Source organism: Homo sapiens, chromosome 1, assembly GCF_000001405.40.
Source record: "Homo sapiens chromosome 1, GRCh38.p14 Primary Assembly".
In the NCBI taxonomy this organism is placed as follows: domain Eukaryota; kingdom Metazoa; phylum Chordata; class Mammalia; order Primates; family Hominidae; genus Homo; species Homo sapiens.
The window spans coordinates 103,207,782-103,234,057 of NC_000001.11; the positions used below are offsets into that span (position 1 = coordinate 103,207,782).

The following is a 26,276-nucleotide window of genomic DNA, read 5'->3' on the forward strand; positions in this document are numbered from 1 at the left end:
AAAAAATGACTCTCTTATCCTAGAACTATTAAATTTAGACTCAAGCAAGGACCAGTTACAGAGCAAGACACCAGTCAGCTGGTAAAATCTGCAGTTTCCAGAAAAGATAACAACAATTTCTTCCCAACCTTGAAACACTTTGTTCTGGCAAGACTGAATTGCTCTTGAAGGATTCTTTTCTGCCTGAGACTGTGTCTCTGAGAAGTCCACTTCTATTCCTCCTTATTTATTCTAACAGAAAGCTGTTGCACCAGTTTCACAGAAAATGGAAGACAGAACACTCACTCAGGACTGCTAGAAGGCCCTTTCTATTAAAAACTTTGAAGTGACTTTTTTTTTTTTTTTTGAGACGGAATCTCGCTCTGTCGCCCAGGCTGGAGTGCAGCGGCACAGTGGTGTGATCTCGGCTCACTGCAAGCCCCGCCTCCCGGGTTCACGCCATTCTCCTGCCTCAGCCTCCCAAGCAGCTGGGACTACAGGCGCCCACCACCACGCCTGGCTAATTTATTTATTTATTTATTTATTTTTAGTAGAGATGGGGTTTCACCATGTTAGCCAGGATGGTCTCCATCTCTTGAACTCCTGATCCGCCTGCCTCGGCCTCCCAAAGTGTTGGGATTACAGGCATGAGCCACCGCGCCCGGCTTGAACTGACATCTCTTAAAGATTACCTCGTGGGCCTAGGGACTGTATAAGTAGTTTGCTATACGTGTGGTAAGTGAGTGAAGAGAAGTGAAACATATGCTCCTCTTTCTAAATACATGCGTGTGTGTGTGTGTGTGTGTGCATTCTCATTGGACCATTATAGTTCAAACATTTCTTACACATTTTATTTATTTATATGAAATGCTGTAAATATTTTGAAACATTACATATGTCATATTTATATGCACACATATAATATACATATATATGATGAAACAAATAATAAATTTCTTGAAGCCAAATTTGTATCTTGGCATCCTGGAATTTTCCTGGCTTTCCCTCTGAGATGACAGAGCCACACTAAGTCCTCTTCCCAACATTTGCACTGTGTTCAATGCTTCATTGTGTGGTCTAAGGAGAACCGGGGTACAGATGTCTCAAGGGTATATATCTTTAATGTTAGTTGACACTAAAGCCTCATCACAGATGGTTAAAAGGGAAATTGTTTAAAAATAAATCCTTGGGCTAGCAGAAGATGATTCCATTGCAAATAGTAAAATTTAGATGACCCGACTCCTATTATTAGCTAGGAGTAGTAGGCCCAGCTGCAGCTACAAGGATGATAGACCACAAATATGGGAGGCAGAGAGCAACAGAGCCAGTTTAGGCTGAGCACACAGTGTTAAAGTGAACATTTTTGCTTACCTTGGCTGAGTGCAATGTAAGTACTTATGAAAACCCAAAATAAAGCTTTCTGCTCTTATGAGCCTTTGTCTATGCCTATACCATGGACTTGGCAGGGTGTTTCTGTGACCATAAGAGTTTGCTGTTAGGCCTAAGAAACGCCTCCTCCCGCACCCCCCCACAACCACGTAAAAATTAAAGCAACATCTCATCATGTAATACTGTTCTTTAGATTGTACTTAATAGGGCCTTTGTGTTGAACTAAAAATGTCCACTTTAAATTCCCACCCATTAAAGCTTTTTGGCATCATACTAAATTTGGTTACGATTTAAACAAATAGTGAAACAATAAACACTAAAAAGCTTTAAAGTTTCCATTCTAAATCAAGTGGACCTTTAATTTTCATTAGCTAATTGCTGTTTTTTAATGATTATTCAACGTTAGGTTTGTATTTCTATTTTCTTAGAAATTTTGACATGTCTCAAGAAACAAAAACTATATTGTTCTAAGGCAATTGTAGAAATCAACATAATTTCATAAGATAATTTTATTCTCCTACTCCAAGTAAGATGAGAAAATAGCAACAATATTAGAGACACTGTGAATGCTCCAGTTTCAATATAATTTTAATATAAAAAGATTTTATCTTGTATATATTTACTGCTTGCAAACTGTTAATTAACTTAGGAATAAATACATTTGATTTAAATGTTTCTTTACAGACTTTTCCATGTTTGTGAGATTTTAATCCATTTTTAATGACTTATTTTTACATTAATGGCAATTATCGGTCGATTAACTCAATAGACATGATTCATAAAACATTTTTGAAAACTAGTTTACAGATGGTGATGCTTAACTTAAATATTAGATTACTTAGCAAAAACAGTTTTTAAAAACATAATGGATTATTTCTCCCAACAATTTAAACAAACGTGATTTTAGTCTATCAAATAATTTTCTATGATTTTTTTTCATATTCCATAAAACTTACAATTTTGAAGTGTACAATTTAGTGGTTTTAGTACATTCACAAGATTGTGCAACCATTGCTGCTATCTAATAAAGAATATTTTTATCACTTGAAAAATAAACCTCATATCCAACAACAGTCACCCCAGTCTCCCCACACTCCAGCTCCTGGCACCCACTAATCTACTTCTTGTCTTTATGGATTTGGCTACTCTGGATATTTCATGTAAATGAAATTCTACAATATGTTGCCTTTTGTGTTTGGTTTCTTCCAATTAATATAATATGCTATCACTTCATTCCTTTTTATGGATGAATATTTTCTTGCACGGATACATCACACTTTTGTTTATCCATTCATTCATTGATAAATATTTGGGTTGTTTCTGTTTTTATAAATATTTACTTACACATTTCTGTTTGGACTTGTGTTTTTAATTCTCTTGTGTATATACTTAACAGTCAAAGTTCTGGGTCATATGGAAACTCCACGTTTTAAATTTTCAAAGAACTGCCAATCTATTTTCTAAAGGGGCTGTACATGCTATATTACCACCAGCATCAGTGTTTCAGTTTCTTCAGCTCTTTGTCAACACTTGTTATTTTCCATTTTTTGATGCTAGCCATTTGATTACATTTTTACCTTCATTACTTTTGATGAAGAAATGGTAACATTTGCATATGGCAAGAAGGGAGAAGTCAAAAATGACTCTAATGTAAGTGACTGGAAGAAAGAGTGGTCTTGTTATTATTAAAAGAAGAGCAGCCAGCAAATACGATTTGGGAGAGGAAACTCATTATGAGACTACAGAAGACAGTTCATCATTTACAAGAGCAGGATGAGAGCTTAGAAATGAAATCAGAGTTTATCATGAGTGGCTTTCAGTAGTGGTAGAATTAAAGCAGGGATTTCTGGAGTCATTGGTCTGGATTTGTACCCAGTCTCCAACATTTACTGTCTGTATGACCTTCAGCATCTGACATAACCTCTTTGGTCTACAGCTTCACCATTGCTAAAATGAGTATGATAATGGTGTGTGTGTCAAAAGATTGCTGTGATAATTAAGTTAGAATAATACATGTAAAGTGATTTATAATGTGTTTGTTGCATAATAAATGTTAGCTATTATTAAAGTGATCACATAATTTATTCTCTAAAGCAGAGCACTTTCACTTTCAAGTATGTCCTGTTTTAGACATCAAATAAGCATTCTCTCAGCCAACTGGAATGTGTGGTCTCTTTTTCTATTATTATTGTGAACTTTTGATGCTTTCATTCAGCCTGAAACAACCTTGGCAGAATGCTAAGAGAAATTAAATGAAGAATACTATGGTATTCGTCTTGCTTCAGCCAAAGTCTTGAAACAGATAAAGAAAATTACTAAAATAGGAACGTTTTTCTTATTTATTAGGTTGTTAATAAACTACTATAATGATAGAAATCATCATGATTAGAAATTATTTGTCTTGAATCTTAATTCTACAATCTTACCATGTCTATGTTTTGCTACATTTTTCTCTGCAACTTAGTTTTTTCATCATGAGTCTTATCACTGTTGTAAGGATTAAATGAGACAGCATATGCAAAAGATTATTTAAACTTAAAAAATCTCTGTAGAATATGTAGGTTGTTATTATAATAAACTGGATATAATTTTTGCTAATAAAAACTCTAAGGCTCTAAAACTACCAAAAATATTACTTTGTTTATTTAATCTATAATTTATGAATACCTTCTCTAGAAGTATAGGAGTAAGTTTATAGAGAGGTAGTGAACAAGACAGCATGGCTACTACAAAAAATGAGAAACTGATTAGCGTTGATGAGGATGTGGAGAAACTGGAATACTTCTGCACTGTCGGTGGTGATGCAAACGGTGCAGCAGGTGTGGAAAACAGTGTGGCACTTCCTCGAAAAATTAAGAATAGAATGAAATTACCATATCCAGCAATTCCACTTCTGAGTGTATGTCCAAAAAAATGAAGGCAGGATCTCAAAGAGGTATTTGCACATTCACGTTCATAGCAGTATTATTCACAATAGCTAAAAGGTGGAAACAGCCCATGTCCATTGATGGATAAAGGAACAAGCCAAATTTGATATATAACTACAATGGAATATTTGTTAAGCTTAAAAGGAAAGGAAATTCTGATACATGCTACAACATGGATGAACATTGAGGATATTAAGCTAAGTGAAATAAGGCTGTCACAAAAGACAAATATTGTATAATTCAATTTACAGGAGTTATCAAAAGTAATCCAATTATTAGACACAAAGGTAGAATGGTAGTTGCCAGGGACTGAAGGAAGGGGACAATGGGGAATTATTGTTATGTGTGTAGAGTCTCAGTTTTGCAAGATATAAAGAGTTCTGAAGATGGATGGTGATGATGCAAATAATATGAATGTACTTAATACCCCTGAAATACACTTAATAATAGCTAAGATGTTACATTGTTATCTACGGTTTATCACAATTTTTTAAGTTGGAAAAAAAGTGAACAATAAATTAGAAGCGTTGATGTTTCTTTCCAACTCTGTAACTTACCTACTTAATTACAGCAACAAAAATAAATGTTGGTTAATTTTCAGAAAAGTTGATCAGTTGCTAGATAGTGCTGACCAGGAGGAATTAAGACTGGGAACTGGTCTAGGACAGATGGTTAGAACCATGTTAGCAGTATGTAATCTCATTTACAGACAGGAGGCTGGTTTTTATAGAAAAGACATGGGTAGTTGTGACTGTGAGAGCAAAGGAAAAAATATCAATGTTGAAGATTAGATAAGACTAGATAGTTATATACATATATACATATATATATACACATACATATATATATAAAACCTATGAAGAATACATCAAAGATAATCATCCCTAATTAGCTGTGCCCAACAAAGTATTTGCTGCTGTAATTCTGAACAGCTATTTTTAAAATATTGTTTTTTCATTCATTATCTTACTTATTATACATATAATTAACAATTCACTTTTGTCAAATATAACACATATTGAGTTCAGTGATCAAACTCTTGAGAAGCCAGTGTGTGTCCATTGCAAGTTTCGCAGGAGCAGATTTTGCTCATTTGTCCTTGTAACAGAGTCAAAACAAACATATTTATTTAACCATTAAACAAATACAAAAATAGGTGACATTTGTTTAGCATTTCTCTTAATAAGAGCTGTAAGAATTTTTTAATTTTTTAACATGAAACAAATTTTAACATGAATGAAACAGATTGATGTATGCTCAGAAATTCAAACAAAATGTTATAACTATGATTTTTAAACACAATTTCCACCCACCAATATTACAATTTAGCCATCATATGCTTATTGGTTGTTGTCATATTTCATTGACTATGGTGATTATTTAAAAATCATTCTCAGTCAGCTAAACTTGGGAGAAAAGCATCTAATCATTTCATGTTACGAAAAAACCCACAAAGATGATCCCATGAGATTTCCAAGAAATGTCAACAACCTTTCTCCCTATCATTTTTATCAGGAAGGTGGTGTCGTTAGGGGCCTCCTGAGTCTGAAGGTGGGAAAGGAAGGAACTAATGTGTCCACTATAGTCTGTATCTCCAGATAAGTGAGAATATACCTACAACAACCGGACTTTTTGAGTTTCTCTTATACTTCATAGGCCCAAGGGAAGCCCTGCTCTTCATAAATGTTTACATTATCATAGAAAATTCTACATTGCCTGTATAATAGCTGCCTTTACTGAAAGGCTGAAAATTATTTAAAATCATGCATAATCTTTAATATAAGTAGTAACTAATGTTAATCAGAGAAACTAGGAGTATTCACTCATAGAAGAGGCCAATCTGTTGGCACATCGTAACAACCAAACAAACAAAAAGAAAACAAACAACCACAACATCAACAGAAAACATGACATATACTGGAACTAGTACAGTGAAATTCTTCTTAGTTGATCCAAATAAAGATGTCACCAAGTGTCTTTTAGCATGTGAGCTTGCTGAGCATGTTTCTCCGATGTTTCACCTCAGTCATGCTCCAGCTGTGATGCAGTACTGTCAAATCGCCCTTTCCCCATTGCCCTTACACAACATTTACTACATAGTTCTCTCTCTTCTGAATTCTCCCTCCACAAAATCTTTCATTCCTTCTCAAAGATATTAATCTGAGCCTACAACATTTATTCCTTAATTTCGTATGTATTAGTTGAACTGAAGTTGAGCTTTTCTCATTCATGCTTTGGCAATTTCGAGGACATATTTGGCCACATTCAGCTACAGTGATGGCTACCCAAACAACAAGATACATTCTGAGAAATATTGCTTTAGGTGATTTCATTGTTATGTGAACATCAAAGAGTGCCCTTACACAAATCTGGATGGCATAGCCTACTACAAACCTAGGTACGTAGCCTATTGTTTCCAGACTACAAACCTGTGCAGCATGTTACAATACTGAATACTGTAGGCAACAGTAACACGATGGTAAGTATTTGTATATCGAAATATATCTAAATGTATAAAAGATACAGTTGCCTATGTTTGTACCTAAACATAGAAAAGGTATTATAATCTTATGGGATCTCCATCATATATATAGCCTATTGTGGACTAAATAAAGGTTATACTGTGCATTACTGTATTTTTTCAATTCATTAATATACTATCAAATTATAATATGGTAATTAGAAGTTTTTTTCAAAAATTAGTACCGTTTGTTATAGAGAATGAAACTATCAAGAGATATATTTTAATAATAATATGTTCACCTGTATTTGTGAAGAGTGTCAGCAGAAATTAGCAATAGTTACATGGTGCACTATATTGCCTAATAGATCTGTAAATGTGTAATAGATGCAAATAGGAAGAAACTTTAATAAAGCAGTAGTTGGTATTGCTTATCTATTCTACCCACATTGAATGCCAGAACTTTAACTTCTAGTGCTCTTATCTAAAATAATTCTTTATTTTATATTTCTCTAAAAACAAAATGAATAAAAATGCATTATGGAATAAACTGTATACACATTGCTTAACAGTTAAATATAATTCTCAGTTTTCTTGACTGCAATTGCAAAATATTTAAACATAAATCTTAATTGAACTTAGTTACATATTCTGTGATCTTAGAGGCTTTAACTTTTATAGAGATGTAGGAAATATAAAAACCAGAAGGGTTTCTCTTTCTTCCCATTTGCAGTGTCTGCAAAATGCAGATATTATTTTTCTCTGTTCTTCCTAAACTTGCCTCATTTTTACACCTCTCAAGTATATGTCTCTTTCTCCATTTCTCTCTCTGGAGCACTAGAAAGGGACTTAGTGATCTTGACCTTTTAGAGGGAAAAGAACAGCTACCATTTTAACACATACTCGAGAAACTGTGTTTATGTGACATCATTTGAGTGATGGTAGTAATATCTGGGATGGAATCAAAGAGACAAATACAAATACTTGGGACATGGCCTACTGCATGTTAAGCACTACAAAGTATTTATCACATTAAATAAATACAGTCGGGCTAGCCCTGTTGCATGCTGAGCCATGTAATTAGTTACAGCTTGCTGCTACCTTGAAGGTCTTCTAAGACAGTGAAAGAGATAAATATTGAGTAGAAATATATAGGAAAAACGAAATCTTTGACAGTACAAGTCAAGATGAAGTGAGTCTCAAAATAAATTAGTTCACAGGACTAAATACAACTTGTAGGTAAAGGCCTGACACTGAGAACAGGTACCTATGTCGGGATTGGTAATTAGCAGATCATTGGTACCCTCTGGAGAATAGATCTATCGGATGGATAGAAGCAGATGCCAGAAACCAAGTCATTTGCTGCATGAGTTGATAGTGGACAAACAGAGGCAGCGAATATGGATTACTTTCCTCAAAAGTCAGCTCACAAAAGACAGATTAAAAGTTTATTACATTTAACAATGTTTGTCAGATTGAGATGACCTGAGCACAGTCAATGGTACAGGGAAAGTAGTCAAGGAAGAAAGATTGAAAATATAAGAGAAAGGTTAGGTAATTGCTAGAACCAGGTTCTAATTAATGCAGAAAAGAAGAAGACTCATGCAGAAACTTTCACCTTGGAAATTAAATGAAGAATGTCAAACATTTCTGAAGCTGGGAGCTAAAAGGAGAAAGAAATGAAGATAAATATTGTGATCAAATTAAAAAGAATATTTGGAGGGCCTAAGCTAGAAGATCTCCATCTCCCAGAACTGTGGGAGGAGAGAGTTCCACAAAGATAAAGGAGTGAGGAGAAAATAAAAGCCTTAGGATGAGCGAGAAACATTTTTATTAATTGCCATAGGGAATACAGCAAGCATATAATTAGGGATGAATATAAGTATTTCCAAGTAGCTATGAGACCTAGCTGAGACTGAGCTGAAGAAGATAGTTAGATATCATCCTGAGCGTCTCTTCCCTAGGTAAGTCCTCATCGATCAAACTTCTGGTAGTTGTTTAATTATCCCTGCTGTATCTTCTCATTGTGTCCTGCATTTGTATAATTTTTTTGGATTTGTTACTTCCTCTCTACAATGCAAGCCTCTGAAGCCTCCTTTTTATTCATTTGTATACATATATTCAAGATCTGCAACATAGAGGTTATCTAATATTTTTTGTTTTAATAACTGTATTTTATTTCCTGAAAGCACTATGTGTTTGAGTAGAGTCTACCCTAGTTGAATTTAATTGTAGTTAAAGCATCCTATTTCAACTCCAGCAAAGTCAGTTTGGTTATGACCAAACTAATAAACTATTTTTCCTCCTTCTGTCTTACATTTCCTCAAATGTTCCTCCTTCATCTGTCCTGCTCTTTACATATCATTTGTTTCTTTTCTGTGGGCTGTAATTACCTTTCCTTGAACATTGCAGCACTTCTTTTTTACTGATCCTTTGCAATCATCCTTAGATGCAATTCTGTTCTTGATGGGCATCCTATTCTGATTCCTTTCCTGCCCCATGTGATTTAAATTGCCCCGGAAGCTCTGCTCGAGGAAAGGCATCCTGCTTGATTAGCTCTTCTACTGGATCAACACTGGGTCTGGCAACAAGGATAACAAATGAGTAAGGAACAAAACAATTAAATTATGCAGCTTATTAAAAGCCAAGAATTACCTGCTTTGGCACAGGAGAAAGCTTAGAAGGTGAAGTGGTCAAAGAGGTATATAAAGTTGGCTAGAAATTCAACAGATGTCAAAAGATAAGTGATCTTTTATAAGAATATAAGTGGAGGACCTAATTGTTACTCCCTTTGAACATTTACTGAACAACTACTATAATCAATGAGGAAATCGAATTTCAGATCAATGGAGAAGCTTCCAGTCTAGATTTGAAATTTTTACACTATTAAAAAAAGTTCAGTTCAATGTAGATTTATTGAAGATAAATTAAAATTTTACATTTGTTATTTTTGCATGATAGAAAACCTGGTATGTGTCAAGTAAGATGCTTTCTTTCTTTTATCATTTTTAATTATGTACACAGAATCTATACACATTACCTCTTCTGTGATCATTCAGAGATCATTCTGTGATCAATTTTATTTTACAAGCTCTTGTCTAGTACTTGCTGTGTGTCAGCCACTCTTCTAAATGTTCTACCTAGATCAACTTGTTAAATCTTATGACAGCATTTGAATTTACCCTTTTTGGTAATTTATATGAGAATATTAAATAGTGACTCTCCTGGCACACATTGGTTAGTAATTTGAGTTAAACTAAACATGTATGAAAAAATACATTTAAGTGGTAATCAAATGCTACCAGGGTGGATACATCAATATTTACCTTAAGTAGAGTTTTCGAATCGCTCTTGGCACAAAATCTAGACATCTAAATAGATTCACTCATTCATTTCTTCATGCATACATATATACCTTTACTCATTCAATAAACTTCTACTGAGTGCTGTATAAAAGCAATATTTGATTATAAAAGAAGATTGGATATTGTATTCATATTCAAGGATTTTATAAACTAGAGAGGTATGTTGTGGCAAACAATTCAAATAAGAAAGCAAATATTGACATACAATACATGAAAGCTTAAAAAAATAAGCTTCATAATAAACATAAAAACAAAGCCCAGGGTAGATTGTGTAAGACTATGGAGAAGACAGCCTTTAAGCCGAATATGTGTCTTTTTGGTGATGGAAGTCCTTACTAACAAACAAGCCAAAGGTGTAGAAATATGGATGGACTTCAGCTGGATCAAGCTTTACCTGGGCTAAAGTGATATGTTAACAATTGTTAGGGAAAAGCCATTTACAAAACTATCGAGAAAATGCAGCCTCTCCAGTAAAAGGAAATTTTGTCTACTGGTTTCCAGAGCAAAATAATCTACTGGTCCTACATTTTTTGTTTGTTTTACTGTTTCTGAACTTTGATTGCTGTAAGAACTAGAAATATCTTTCATCTCCAGCTGGCAGTAAAGCTATACCCCATTTTCCAAGTTGGATTTCTATAATCCTTCTTAATGAGTCTACCATAGCTCACTCTCTGGGGCCTCCAACTGGACCAGAAAATAATCCTTAGCCAAAGGAGCAGCAGAACACCATGGTCTCTTCATCCTGATGCAATGCTCCTTTCAATTGTTGCTTCTTGATTTTTTTCCCAAGTAAGAGCTATTTTGAAAGAATAAAAGATGAGCCTTGAAAACTCATGAACCTTGTTTTCTTCTGTCAGAATAAAAATAATACTTTGTTCCCAGGGTTGTAAAAAAATGAGAGGTCCCACAATATTGGTCTGTTATAATCAGGAAACAGCAATCATATTTTTACAGATGATATCATATAATCTCTTCTTAGACTAAAGGAATATTTGTGGGTCTCAATTATGAGAACTACTAATGAATGAATTATTGAATGAGGAAGTGGTAAATGATCAGCTGGATTGCAAGTTCTGAAACTTTGTAACATCTGCTGCTTTTATAACAGTAACATATGAACCAGAACTTTCGTCTCTGCTTTCAGGAATGTTGTTAATCTTGCATTCCATACAGGCAAGTCTGGTATTAACAAAATTACAAAATAGATTGAAAATGTCATCTAAATAAATATCTCATGAAAATCTAGTTAAAATAGATAACCATCACTTAATTTTAAGACAAGACAGTTGTTGAATATGTTTGAATTTACCATAATTGAATGAACTTCCATATAGTTAATGGCAGTAGAAGAAGTGAATTCATATGTTCATTGAGTATAATTATATTTTTTCTGATTGAGGCTTTCAATAAATGCCTGTTGTCAAATTATGCCATTGGTAGTGCCTATAATAGCTAAATGGGTGCAGAAAAAAGGTTAGAAATATTAGATAAAAGCTGGACATTGGTGTGTACGTGAAATTTTGTCCTGGAGTAGTAGAATGTCTGGCTTCTGATTTTTCAAGCACTTTGTGTTGCTTTTACATCTGTGTTAATACTGAAATTATGTAGAAACCATGGGTGTTCATGGTGGTTTGAAACAATAAAAAAGCAAGTTATAAAGGAGAGGTTTTGACATTTTTATGCATTAGACAAAATGTAAAAGATAAATGTTCCAAAGCTCACTTCAGCAATGTCACAAACTCAGGCAATCTCACACTTTAAATCAAGCCTGGGAAAGTTCAAGTTATTTACTAAAGCGTAACAAAACAAGCAAAATAAACCAAATAATGCTGAATTTCACAGGAAATCCCCAAGACCAAAATGACACTAATTAAATTAAAGGTGGTGCATGAATGGTCAACTGACAAGGAATCTTTCGGTGGACACAAAATTACAGTTTTAAGTCACACCCTTCATAGTTTTTGAAATTTCAAACATACTCATACAGACACAGCGTATTAGCTGGAATTTCAAACATACTCATACAGACACAGCGTATTAGCTGGAATTTCAAACATACTCATACAGACACAGCGTATTAGCTGGAGCCAAACTGAATAGGCACATCTTGGGTGTTTTAAATCAATATCTAAAACAATTTCAAATTTTTGTTATGACAATTCCCTCTTAACAAAAAAAGTGTTCCCCTGATTGGTTTTGTTTTGTATGTGTTAAATTTGATCAGCTTATATTCTGCAAATTTATTGTCAGCAATTACACAGTAGTCCATTAAATATGTAAGAGTCAGACCAAATTAAATTTTTAAAGGCTACTTAGTTACTAATCAATACAATATTTTATACATCATTTTTATACCATTTGGGTAAAAATGATGGAGAAGAGAATAATTCAAAAAGAAAGAAAGGAAGGAAAAAAGAGATGGATGGAGGAAGGAAGGAAGAAGAAAGGGAGGAAAACAAAAAACAGGAGTGTACCAGAGCATTCTGAGAACTTTATGACGTGTCAAATTAGTCCTGTATTATAAGGTGTGGTAATGACTTTTCAGGCACTCTGTATGTGGTAAAGCAATAAACCGGGGGTAGAATTGAGATTCAGAAGGAATATTACATTTTTATTAGACAATTACAATATTTTGGTGACCGTCAACTGAGCTCCCGTTTTAATGTTTGGTAATTCTTTACCTTATAAATCTTGGTAGAGGTAAAAGATCATCTCCCTTTAGAAAAGCTAAAAATTCTGGCTTTCCTAGCTAGGGAATAGCCATGTGACCCAAGCTTCACGAATCAGAAGCACTCAATTTAGGCTTAACTTTGGACCATGGAACAGTCTATCTCTCTCTCTCTCTCTCTGTCTTTCTAGTGGTTGCAGTAGCAATTTCTGCAAAACCAAGTTCTCCATGCAGAAGGTTTTGTGATTTATTTTTTAGTTGGGAGCTCACATTCCTTGGATCTTTGTGGGAATTCTTTGAGGCCTGGGTAAAGGATGTGTTTCTCTGAAAGGTTATAACACAGAGTGTTTCCAGAGGCACAGTCTCAGTCATAATAATGTGGGAACTGCCAAGAAATCAGTTTGACTAATCTGTTAAATAGTGCCTTAAATAGACTTGTATTTAAAGAGCCATTAGCATGTTTTCTTGGCATTTGTCCTGCTGGTCAGTGATCCTTATTAAAGGTCTAGGATTAGGCTTGTTTAATAGCACTTCAGAGGTGGGAATGAAAAATATTAGGCAAGGGGGAACTATAGATGCCAATATGCACTTTCTGATCTTTAATGGCATTTGTTGCCTAGCTGAAGCCCTTTCTCCCTTTGCTATACTTACAGATATATTTTTCTAGTTCAGCGTGACTTTTCAAAATAAATTAATATGCAAATTCTAATGGACAATATTTTCACATTGATTATGTATCAGAAACCACAAATTTATGTTTCATCCACATTTGAGAAACACATTATTGGTTTTTTTGTGAATATATGTAAGAATTTATATTGGGTATATACTTGTGAATGAATTGCTGAGTCATATGCTATCTTATTGGAAAATGTTTCCAAAATGGTGGGTGTAACGATTTACATCCTGAGTACTGTATGATGTCCAGGACATGCCACATCTTTGGCAACGTTAGACTTTTCAATCTTTTTCATTTTAATGATTGTGATTTTCATTTGCATTTCCTTGATGACTTATGAGGTTGATCACTCATATGTTTATTGGCCTTTTGGGTAGCTTCATTTATAAAGTGCTTGTTCATTTATTTGCCTAATTTTAATTGGATTCATTATATGTATGTTTCTATTTGGGGGTAGCTCTTTAGGTAATGGATACAAGTTCTCTGCTGATCATATATACTGCAGAAAATTTATATCTTGTGGTGAGCTGTTGATTAACAAAACTCTATCATTTTATTTTGCCAAAATGTTTGAAATATATTTTAAGGTTAGAGCTTTTGTATTTTTATCGAAGAAATCTTTGCTTACCGAAATATTAAAGATATTCTCTCACATTCTACCAACAATTGATTCTGTGTATAGGAGAGGTAAAGATTCATTTTATTCTGTATATACATTTAGTTAACTCAGGATCACTTTTTGAATTAAAAACCCAACATGTCTACATTGCTTTTCAGTGCCACTCTTATCTTAAATCAAATTCTGTTGTATGTGTGTTTCTATCCTTTCTGTTCTATTCTATTTGTATATTAGTATATACCACAATGTCATAATTTTTAGAGTATTGTAATAAATCTTGTATCTGTAACTATAAGAATTCTAATTTTGTTCTGTAAGATTTCTTTGCATTTGAATATTCATTTCAGAATCACCTCAATTTTTGACAAACAGCTTGGTGGAATTTTGATGAGTATCGTATTGAATCTTTAGATCAATTTTTGTAGGATTTACATTATCATAAAACTAGGCTATTGGCAGGTTAAATGTTGATCTTGTTGAGTTTTTAAATTTATCTCAAAAATGTTACAAAGTTTTTTGGTATAGAAGTCTTACATATTTTTTCTTAGAGTTATTTTTGTGTATTTTTTTCCTGAATCTATTGTAAATTAATTATATTTTAAAAATTTGTTTTCCAAATGGCTTGTCTCACTAAATGGAAATATGATTAATTTTGTATAGAGTTATACAATTTAGTGATTTCTGTAGTTTCAGATATTAATTCTAATACTTTATCTAAATAACTTTTTGAATTTTAAATAACACAAGCAAGTCATTTTCTAAAAACCAATATTAGAGTTTTTTGTCCTATACTTATACTTTTTTTTTCTTTATCCTGCCTAAGTGCACTTTTTAGGACCTCCATTTCAAGGCTGAATAAAAGTGGTAGCAGCCAATATTTCTATATATTTTCTGATTTTAAAGATATGATTCAATGTCTAAACATTAAATATAATTTTGGTAAATTCCGTTTTCAGAATAAGATATTCCTTTCTAGTCCTAGATTATTAAGAGTCGTTAGACCAAAAAAGTGAATTATGTTCAAATGATTTTTCTACCTCTGTTAAGATACTCATATATTTTTCTTTATTAATGTGATAAAGTGATTGACTTTTAAAATGTTAATTCAACATTACGTTATTATAATAAGCTGTACATTTTTATAATACATTATCATTTTAACAGTATTGAATTTCATTTGTTAACATTTTGCTTAAGATTTTTGTGTCTGTATCAGAGAGATGAGTTACTCAGTTTTGTAATATTTATATGAAGTTTAGTACCAAGATAATGTTGACTTATTAAAATTTGTTAAAAAGTGTTTGCTGTTTCTTCTTCTTCTTCTCCTTCCTCTTCTTCTTCTCCTTCTTCTCCTTCTTCTTCTTCTTCTTCTTCTCCCTCCTTCCTTCCTTCCTTCCTTCCTTCCTAGGAGATTTTAGGTAAATTAAGTTACGCATTATTTCAGTGTTTGAAAAATTTACCAGTGATGCCATCTGAGACTGAAGATTTTTGTTATGAAGGTTTTTAATTAGAATTATATTGCTTTGATGGATTTAATAGACACACTATTTTACTCAAGTCCCTTACAGTAAAGTTTGCATTTTGTAGACAATTGTTAACTTCATATAAATTTTCAAAATCATTCCATTCATTCAAATATGCTTCATAATATGCTTTCATTATCTATGTAATGCTAACAAGATTTGCAATGATGATAATTTCTCATTTATTTTGATTATTTATGCCTTTGTTTTGTCAGGGGTTTCTAATATGTATTAAGTGCTATAGTCTGGATATTTGTCCCAAAAAATCTCACGTTAAAATATGGTCACAATGTTGGAGATGGGGACCTAATGTGAGGTATTTTGGTTTGGGGGTAGACACCTCATGAATAGATTAATTTCCTTCTTGAGAGGCAGACGGGGATGGGTGAGTGAGTTCTCTATTTATTCCCACAACAGCTGGTTGTTAAAAGAGTCTGGCACCTTCCTTCTCTCTCTTACTGCTTCTCTTACTATGTGATTTTTGCACACGATTGTTCCACTTCATCTTCTTCCATGAGTGGAAGCAGCCTGAAGCTCTCATCGGAAGCAGATGCTGGCTCCGTGCTTCTTGTACAATCTGCAGAATCATGAGCGAAATAAATCTCTTTTCTTTATAATTTACTCAGACTCAGTTATTCCTTTATAGCAATACAAAATAGACTTAAACAATTGTTACTGAAGAGTGTGGTGTCACTACAAGGATACCTGAAAATGTGGAAGCAGTTCTGGAACTGGATAATGGGCAGAGGTTGGAAGAGTTTGGAGAGCTCAAAAGAAGTCAAAAACACTAGGAAAAGTTTAGAATTTCTTAGATATTTGTTAAGTGGTTGTAACCAACATGCTGATAGGAAATTAGATATTAAGGGCCATGCTAACAAGGTTTCGGATGGAAAAGAGGATCTTATTGGGAATGGAGGCAAAGATCACCTGTGTTATGCTTTAGCAAAGAATTTGGCTCCATTGTGTCCATTCCCTAGGGCTTGGTAGAAAGCCAAACCTAGGAGTGATGACCTAAGGGAATCTGGGCAGAAGAAATTTCTAATTAGTAAAGCATTAAGAAGTGGTGTGTCTGCTTTTAATAACTTATGATCAGATATAGCAGCAAAAGAGTGACCTAAAGATGGAAATTACAATTAAAGGGAAGCCCAGCATAAAAATTTGGAAAATTCACAGCCTGGCTGGTAGACAAGGAAAGAGTATTTCCAGGAGGGGAATCTAAAGGTGCTATAGAACAACCCCTTGCTAAAGAGATTTCTGTGACTCAAAGGGAGCCATATGCAAATACTCATAACAGTGGGAAATAGACACCAAAGGCATTTCGGAAATCTCAAATGCAAACCCTCCCTTCACAGTCCCAGAGGCCTAAGAGGACAATTGGTGCCCCTTTCTACCTCAGGATGCTATTCACCACATCTTAGCCACTCTGGCTCCAGCAGGGGCTCATCAAGTTCCATATACTGCTTGGACCACCAATCTGGAGAGAGCAAGTGGCAAATCTTTGCAGCTTCCATGTGGTGTTAAGTTTGTAGGCATTTAGAATGGAAGAGTGGAGTGGACTTATTGGCTTTCAACTAAATTTTAGAGGATGTATCAGAAATCCTGGGAACCCATGGAGAAGTCTACAGCAAAGGCAGAGCTACAAGCAGAGAGCTTCTAGTAGGGCAGTGCCTAGGAGAACTGTGGTAGCAGGGCCATTGACCTCCAGATTCAGAATGATACAGTCACTGGCAACATGCACCTTCAGGCTAGAGAAGCCAGAAGCATTCAGCTTCAACTTATGAGAGCAATATGTGGTCTGCACCCAGCAAAGCCATGAGGCCATGACATCCCTAGGCCTTAGGAGCCTACCCCTCCAACCAGTGTGACTAGGATGTGGGACATGAAGTCAAAGGGAATCATTCTAAAACTTTAAGAGTGAATGTCTGCCCTGCTGGTTTTTAGACTTGTGTGGGGCCTGTTACCCCTTTCTTTTGGAAAAGTTCTCCCTTTTAGGAAAGGAATGTGTACCTAATGATTATACAACCATTGTATCTTAGAAGTAAAAAATATCTAAGATTTTGATTTTACAGAGTCATAGCTAGAAGAAATGTATTATACCTTGAGTTTCAGATGAGACTTTGGACTTTGGACTTTTGAGCTGATGCTGGAACAAGTTTAGACTTTTGAGATCTATAAGGATGGAATGATTATGTTTTGTATGTGAGAAAGACATAAGCTTTGGAGGGTCAGGGGAAGAATGCTATGGTTTGGATGTTTGTTCCCCAAAATCTTCTTTTGAAATTTGAACCCCAATATTGGAGATAGAGGCCTGAGGGAGGTGTTTGAGTCACGGGAACAAACTCTTTATGAATAGATTAATGCCCTCCCTGGGCAGTGAATTCTTGCTCTATTAGTTAGTGCAAGAGCTGGTTGTTCAAAACCAAAAAAAAAAAAAAAAGGCCTGGCACCTCCCCCACCTTCTTGCTTCTTCTTTTGTCATGTAATCTCTGCAAATGGCAGTTCTGCTTTGCCTTCCTCCATGACTGGAAGCAGCCAGAGGCCCTCACCAGAAGCAGATGACAGGATAATGCTTCTTATACAGCCTGCAGAACAATGAGCCAAAGAAACCTCTTTTCTTTATAAATTTCTCAGACTCAGCTATTCCTTTACAGAAACAAAAAAATAGACTAAGATGTTAGGTTAATTGAACACTTGTTAAAGAAGGTATTCTCTATAATATTAGTGCTTTGATATGTATTGCTACTTACTTTATGGTGCAGCATATCATTGACTTCAATACATATATATTCTATGTATACTCAAAAAGAATGCAAGCAATTATAATATATTTGAAACAGTCTAAAATATAGTCAAATTGTTATCTCAGTGTTATTTAAATCCTCAATATCCTTACTGATTTTGTGCCCACATGATTTACCAGTTACATAAAAATGTTTAAAATTTCTAATACTAATTGTATATTTATCTATTTCTCCTTTTAGCCCTATTTTTTTCACATATACTGAAGCCATAATTAGGTGTATGAATGTTTATATTGTTATGCCATTATAGAAAATTGATATTTTCATTATTATGAACTGCTCCATTACTGCCAATGGTCACATTGAGCTTTCTAAAAAATTAGAGCAACTTTATTTTGGTCAGTGTGCATGGCATATTTTTTCCTATCTTTTTTTTTTCAATATTTTAAAGTTAATTAATATCTGTTTTGTAAGTCCAATTTAGGGAGTATTACATACTCAGGGACTACTCTTACCTCCTTGTTTCCCAAGATGAGTTTGTTGCTTTTAAATAAAATGCCTCATTAAAAATAATTTTAAACAAGTACACATATGTACTAAAATGTTCAGTTAGGAATGGTGGCCCTACTAGAAGGAAGTAACCATACCCTTATAGATAATTGTGATAAGGACATACAGGACACATAGAAGAGAATCTGAAAAACAAAACAAAACACAAAGTGATACAAGAAGAGAGGCAATTGTATTGCAATATTTGACTAAAGATTTTGAAAACTTTCTTAGGTAGGAAGATTAAAAAATGGGAAATCAGTATCAGAACCTTACCATATATAGAACATTTTAAATTAGGTAGTTGTTTTCTTAATAGCAAACTACATATAGATTTCATTCCATAGTATTGGCATAGTCATTTACAAATAATCATTTCACTGTCTTCATAAGTTAAATATTAATAAACCAAAGCAAATTGATGATGGCATGAGAGAAAAAAAATCTATTGTAAGTAAGACTGAAAAACATTTTGACTGCATTCTGTAAGTTAATGAAAAAACAAACTATACACAACTGCTATAAAACAATGTAATATGCACTTGCATTTATAAACTATACAATGTTCTCACCATGTCTTGCACAGATGGAGAAAGCACAGCTTAGTTTTAGAGTGTGAGAAGCAGACTAAACTCTGGGCAAGTGAAGAAATTGCTTCAGAAAACTCAATTTGAAATTAAATGAGGAAAAAACGTGTATACTGAATTTGGCAAATGCAACAAATGATATCTGCAGACATTGTTTCAATAGAGGAGTGGGAAAAGCACACCTACAGTTGAGGAAGAGTATGTGAAAGTTGCAGATGTTGAACCAATGAGATGAATCAAGAAGCTCAAGAAGCGTGACAATGAGATTAAAGAGAAAGGTGGTGTAGAAACTAGAGAGCAGCACAGAATCAAGGGAAATCTTTGGGTATTTTTCTTTCAATTGGGGGCTCAATTATATATATAAATATATGACATATATTTATATTATATATATTTGAATATATGATGTATATTTATATATAGATGTATTTATATATGGCATATATTTACATTAATATATATTTATTATGTATGCATGAAATATTTAACATATTTATACTATATATAATTTATAAATATAAATGTATAATGAGAAGAGTAAATTAATAGAATGATTAAGGGGAAGAAAGAAAGAAACTGATGAAGCCAAGTAAAAAGAAGGAGATAAGACAATGCTTTAGGCAGAAGGAGGAGGCAAGTAAGAAAGGATGGATGTGGGGACTGTTTCTAAATCTTGAGGACAAATAAGGGAGGAAGTAGGAGGTAAGAAATTTCTCTCTGGATTGCCTCAATTTTCTTGGTGAGGTAAGGGAAAAGGTCATCCACTGAAAGCAAAAATATAACAGAAATGAAGAGTCCTGAAGGATGATGACAAAGGTTGGAAATATCTTTTGAGAAAATGGAAGTTTAAGCTGAATAAGGCCAAAGGCAAGAATTGCTTTGCAATGTTAGAAGTCCAAGTGAGGTTGAAAATTAAAATTCCAAGGAAAGTAGCATTCTTCAAGATCATATGATTTCCCTCTCAGAATGTGAGAGTACCAAAAAGATAGACATTCAGTAAAATGGATGTGGAAGAGAAAGAACAATGATATTGTTTATACATAAAAATTCATTGAAATATAGGCTTAGATTTGTTTACTTAGCAGTTAGTAAATATTATCTCAATATGCAAGGAAATAAGACAAAGTAAACAGTGAATAAATCACTTCAGGTTCATTACAGTCTGGATTGGGTGGATGCTGTTGACTATTGCAGTCTAGATTCTTGTACCCATAGTAACTACCAGATTCTTGAGCTCAGTATTTCTCAAACTTTGGGGAGCATACAGTACACCTGAGCATCATGTTAAAACACAAACCTGAATCTCAGTAGATCTGAGATAGGATCCAAGATTCTGAATTGCTATGAAACTTCCAGATACTGCTGCTGGTCTGTGGGCCATATTGCTTACAGAACTTCATGCTCCACAAGAATATGTGGGTGAAAAGTAACACTTTTTTTTCAGTTAAATTACTGTTTTTCCTACCTATTAAATTATGTGATCTTTTTAACTCAAATTTCTTTCAATTATTAAGGCCACATTATTTTCCTGTGGATATTTGTAGTTAGGATATATGGCTCCTTATCAAAGGCAGCACTGACACAATCATATAGCCCACACGCTGTGTATAAGCCCTGGTGGGTGGAGTACTTTTTCAGTACTCCTGGCAGAGAAGTTAGCTTCTGTCTCTTCCACCCTATCCTCTCCCAGGATACTAAATGGAATTAGGTTAAACAATTGCTCAGGGCCGAACCAATATAAAACTCATCATAGATTTATTCTGGCATACAAGAGATCAGTTTAATTTAAAAATTATTTGTATGACACTTTTTTTTCACACACTTGTGAAATGATAGAACAAATTTGGAAACTTCCTTAACACAGCAGCTCTGCAGCCATGCCCCCCACGCCTAACTAAACTAAGGCACAAAGATGCTGAGGTCCTTTCTATTTTATGTAGTACCTCTTAGGTCAATTGGAAAAGTTCCGATTGAATCGGTGGAGGTACTTCAGTTATATGCAATGTTCTGAAAGATTTCAAATTTCAGTGATTAGAGAGTGGGATAATCTACAACTTGCATTTTATCCTTACTTGGGTTAGGAAATTAAATTTCCTGCTGATTATGGTTTGTGAATATTAATATTTCACATAAAATGCACACCAACACATAGAGATAATGGAAAGTGAGTTAAAAATTTTTTATACTTCTTGATGAAAATAGTCTTAGTGGAGAGTTCGTTACAAAACAAATGGCAATTTCAGGAGGTATTCACATGCTTAACAAATATTTAATATCTTTAAAAAAGAAATTTCAAATGAATAATTGTTTTATTGATTAGTTTATTTTACTCATTTTAAAATACAAAAGGAGGTAGACAGGCATTTAAAATAGAGGAACATCATTTTCGAAATTATTTACCTACAAAGATTGCTTCAGATCTTAATAACAGTGGTTTATAGATCTGGTCTTATCAAATAACTACAACAAACAACTAAATAAGAATGCTTATTGTTGTGTGTCTAGAACATATCAGGCACTTTACATATATTATTTTGTTGACTTATCTCAATAAAATTAAGTATATACGTAGAGTCAAGAAATGACGCCAATATGTAGCAGCGTCAGAATTAAAACTTAGGTTTCCCTCAACCTAAAACTGATAAATATTTCACCTTATGACACCCCCATACAATAGGAATTATGTTCTAAACCCAAGCATTTAAATTCTGGTGTTTAAAGGGACCTTAAAATATGAGCTACTTAAAATATTTCTCCATTTTTGATACTGTAAAACTAGTATTTATTTATTAACTCATCATCATTAATCACTGCCTGAACATCCTGAGTTTTTCTACTATAACACATTCAACTTCTACCATTATATTTAAATAATGAGGGTTATGTTTTAAATTTTTCATCAATGTGGTCATTGTGATGTAGTTAACCAAAACATAAGACCAAGTTATTGATGGCTCAATACTCTGATGACAGGGTAACGTTTGCCGCAAAACTGTAGTTGGGGCAACAGAACACAGGATATGATGCATATACACACGAAATTCTGTCAACCACACTTTTCAGAAAAAAGATCCATAGAAAGTTGTCATAAAAAGAACACCCGGTGGTTTATTTATAAGTTTCTGTTGTCATCAAGCTCTCCATTGAACTTATACTCTATAGTGAGAATAGTAAATCTAACAGATTTCTCATTCACTTGGGTTTAATATATATATACACACATATATGTACATATATGTACATACATACATATATATGTACATACATACATATATATGTACATACATACGTACATACATACATATATATGTACATACATACATATATATGTACCCATGTATGTACATATATGTATATATGTACATACATATATATGTATATATATACTATATATATGTATTTTTTGCAAAAGTGTTTAATTGTATTTTATACAAATTAGAAAAATGTATTTCCCTTTTAGGAGAGTATATTTTTTGGGGTAAAATACTAAAGTACAGAAATGAATATTCTAAGGTACTTAATGCTTTGAGATACTTAAATTAGCAGTCCCATAAAACAAGCAACTTAACCAGAATCAATTTGAGTAAACTTGCCTAAAACAAAAATTATTTTTGCTATACAATGCAAGAAACTATTTTTAATCATTTATAAATATAATATTAAGTATTATATATTTTATTTTTATGTAAAGTCTTTTATATATTTTTTCATTCACACATAATTTTAGTAACATTCATTTATAGAAGCAAAATTATTGACAAAGTTATTTAATTACAATTCTTGTATTCTTGTATTCCAAAATTATATTTGTCAAACCATAACTTTTACTTTCCTTTTCAAAAGCAATATCCAATATGTAACTATTTAGTTACTTTGGTCACCTTAAATTCCAATTATACCATGGTGCTTCATAGAACTATCTGTGTACAACTCTGGATTGTTGAAGTATTATATCAATTCATCATTGTTCTTTTTCTAATTTAGCTTTTTGTTTAGTGAACGTATCTTTAAAGCTTTGTTAAATATTAGGGTAGCCCCATAAATTATATGTTCGTAATTATTAAACAAACTCAGATCTTGATTACTGATAAAGAATATTAATTGCGCAGCTACCTATCTTCATCAGTTTTGGATATCCATGCTGATTTTGTGTAGGGAAAATAGAAAGTAGCTAATAATCTACTTTATTGGAATGGGGAAACCTTCTGAGACAAGAAGAGCGTGAGGATCCACCCCTGAGCCAAACAGGAATCTATATCTGGAAAGTCCAGTTCATATAGTCTGCAAAAATAAACATAAGAGAAAAATAAGTAAATAAATAAAAACAAATCAAAAGAGAATCAAGCAACAAAACAACCACAGTAACAAAAAACACCTAAAGATTCTGTGTCCAAAAAATGTAACCAGACTTGCTAGCGAATTAGCATCTGCAATAATAGGAATAGAATTTCTTGATGAGAGAATGTCCTGAGAGCCATGGGATTAAGGTCTTTTGAGATAGGATCCAGCTTCTTAGACCTACCTTACTGGCAAACCACTCAAAGAAAGCCCTTATGCTGCAAACAGAGGGATCAACTTCAGACAGGAAACAAGCATATATTTCTTTTTTCATACCTGGTAAAACATACAAACAGAAAGATAAATCAAAGACAGGAAGTAGACATGCACATCTTACTCTCCAGACTTAGTATAAGCCTCTAAGACAGTATTCCAGTTGGGTTCCTCACAACAAGATCTGTGCACACCCTCCCTCATAGGCCAGCCAGCACAGAATTGCTTCTGATGTCTTCAGGCCCTGTCTTCTTTCAGCTAGCACATTCCCTACCTTGGCTGAAAATAACAGCTGTAGGTTTGGATTGCTGCCCACAGGATACCAATAGCCCTTGTATACAAGAATGAGAAGAAAGATTATTTCTCTTGCACTGCTGACAGATGGAGAAGAAAAGGGTTAGTAAAAACATAACAATTTGAAAATGATTTTAAGCTGAAATTTTTGCTTTTCTATTCTTAACTTAATATAAGACTTCAGACAAAAATTTATTGAATATATAACTGGTGCTAGTTATAGATTTTAGGTACAGAGAATTCAGCAGTAAAAAAGAGGCAAATCCCTGTTTTCATAATACTTATATTCTGCTCATCTTGTCTTGCTGTAGGCTTGTTTTATACAAGGATGTCGCTGTCTTTTTTTTAAAGCTTAACTGAGATATATTTTACATACCATAAAATTTGCCCATGTAAAGTGGTCAATTTAATAGTGTTTAGTATGTTCACAGTTGTGGGGATCATCAGAACCTCATTTTAGAGCATTTTTGTCACCCTCAAAAGCAAACTGGCCAGGCACAGTGGCTCATGCCTGTAAATCCCAGCACTTTGGGAGTCCAAGATGGGAGGATCACCTGAGGTCAGGAGTTCGAAACCAGCCTGGCCAGCATGGGGAAACTCCGTCTCTACTAAAAATACAAAAATTAGCTGGGCATGGTGGTGGGCTCCTGTAATCCCAGCTACTTGGGACGCTGAGGCAGGAGAATCACTTGAACCTGGGAGGCGGAGGTTGCAGTGAGCCGAGATTACATCACTGCACTCCAGCCTGGGCAACAGAGTGAGACTCAGTCTCAAACAAAACAAAACAAAACAAAACAACAAAAGAAAACTCACACCCAATACAGGTACTCCTCTCTCCATCCTCCTAGTTCAAGGCAACCAGTAATATACTTTTTGTAATGTATGTATATATAGGTATGCTAATTTTGTACTTTTTATATAAATGGAATCATCTAATATGTAATCCTTTTGTTCTTTAACTAACCACAATGTTTTTAAGATGTATCCATATTGTAGCATGAATCAGTACTTCATTCCTCTTTGAGGATATCTGCTTGCTTGTACAGTTAATTTAAAATGAGATCTGTCCTAGTTTATGCCTTTTTTAGACTTTCCCATACTCTGTAGAAAATTTCACTTTTAATTGAGAATAAACTTTGAATGAGATGGTTTAATTATAGAACTAGAAAATACTGGGAGAGCATCTAGTCAACTTACAGGCTATATAAAGCAAACAAATAAGAATTATTGTGATCACAACATAATGCCTGTTTAATATTATTTTTATAAAAGTATTGCAAAAAAATTACCCATAAAATTATATACCCTATAATTTTCACTAGTGTCTTCTCTATCTCTCAATTTAATGTACCATCCATTATATAAAATTTTAAAAAGATATCAGCCAGTAAAATCATATCTATCATCAATATCTATCCAACTATTTTTCTAGACTGCCTGAAGTCTTACAGAATATATCTTTTTTAAAAAATCACAATGAAGAGTGCTTGAGATTTTAATGTTGGAAAACAAGATGAAAATTTTGCAGTCTTTTCAGAATTTACAAATAAGCTCTTTGGCTTCTAGACGAAATAAATATAGCAGAGTACATGTCATCTAAACAGCACCCACCACAGTTTTTTTGAAAGTATTCAGTCTCCACTTAAGCTTACATTCCTCAAGTAAAAAGATCCATTTAAACAATTATATATCAAATGACTTGGAAGTTTCTAACGAAATGCCTTTACATTTTCTTGAACTTTATTTAACTCTTATCCTGAGGTTTTCTTATGGTACTCATATTTATTTTATATTTTAATTTCTGTATGACTTCTGGTGTTGTAGCATTTTTACTTTCAATTAATGTTTCTGGACTAAAACCTCTCTTCTCTTTTTCCCAACAATATCAACAAGTAGACTCCTTAGGTATTATGAGTTATGTTTAAATGTTCCTTTCTGTAATTA

The 26,276-nt window shown here is 33.6% G+C and overlaps 1 long non-coding RNA gene across 1 annotated transcript, besides 1 other annotated feature; it reads right to left on the minus strand.

Moving 5' to 3' along the window:
- Positions 1–21,791: 21,791 nt before the first annotated feature.
- On the minus strand, positions 21,792–24,200 carry LOC124904593 (uncharacterized). The gene is made up of 2 exons (XR_007067034.1): positions 24,010–24,200; positions 21,792–23,768 (listed from the first exon to the last, which is right to left on the minus strand). It is a non-coding gene; the product is annotated as an uncharacterized LOC124904593 (long non-coding RNA).
- Positions 24,770–24,927: a silencer, noted in NCBI's record as "fragment chr1:103698107-103698264 (GRCh37/hg19 assembly coordinates)". NCBI's record gives its function as "represses an EF-1alpha promoter that drives an FKBP-Casp9 reporter gene in an ReSE screen in both phorbol 12-myristate 13-acetate-treated (for megakaryocytic differentiation) and untreated K562 erythroleukemia cells {active_cell/tissue: K562 | K562(+PMA)}" and the evidence as "EXISTENCE:reporter gene assay evidence [ECO:0000049][PMID:32094911]".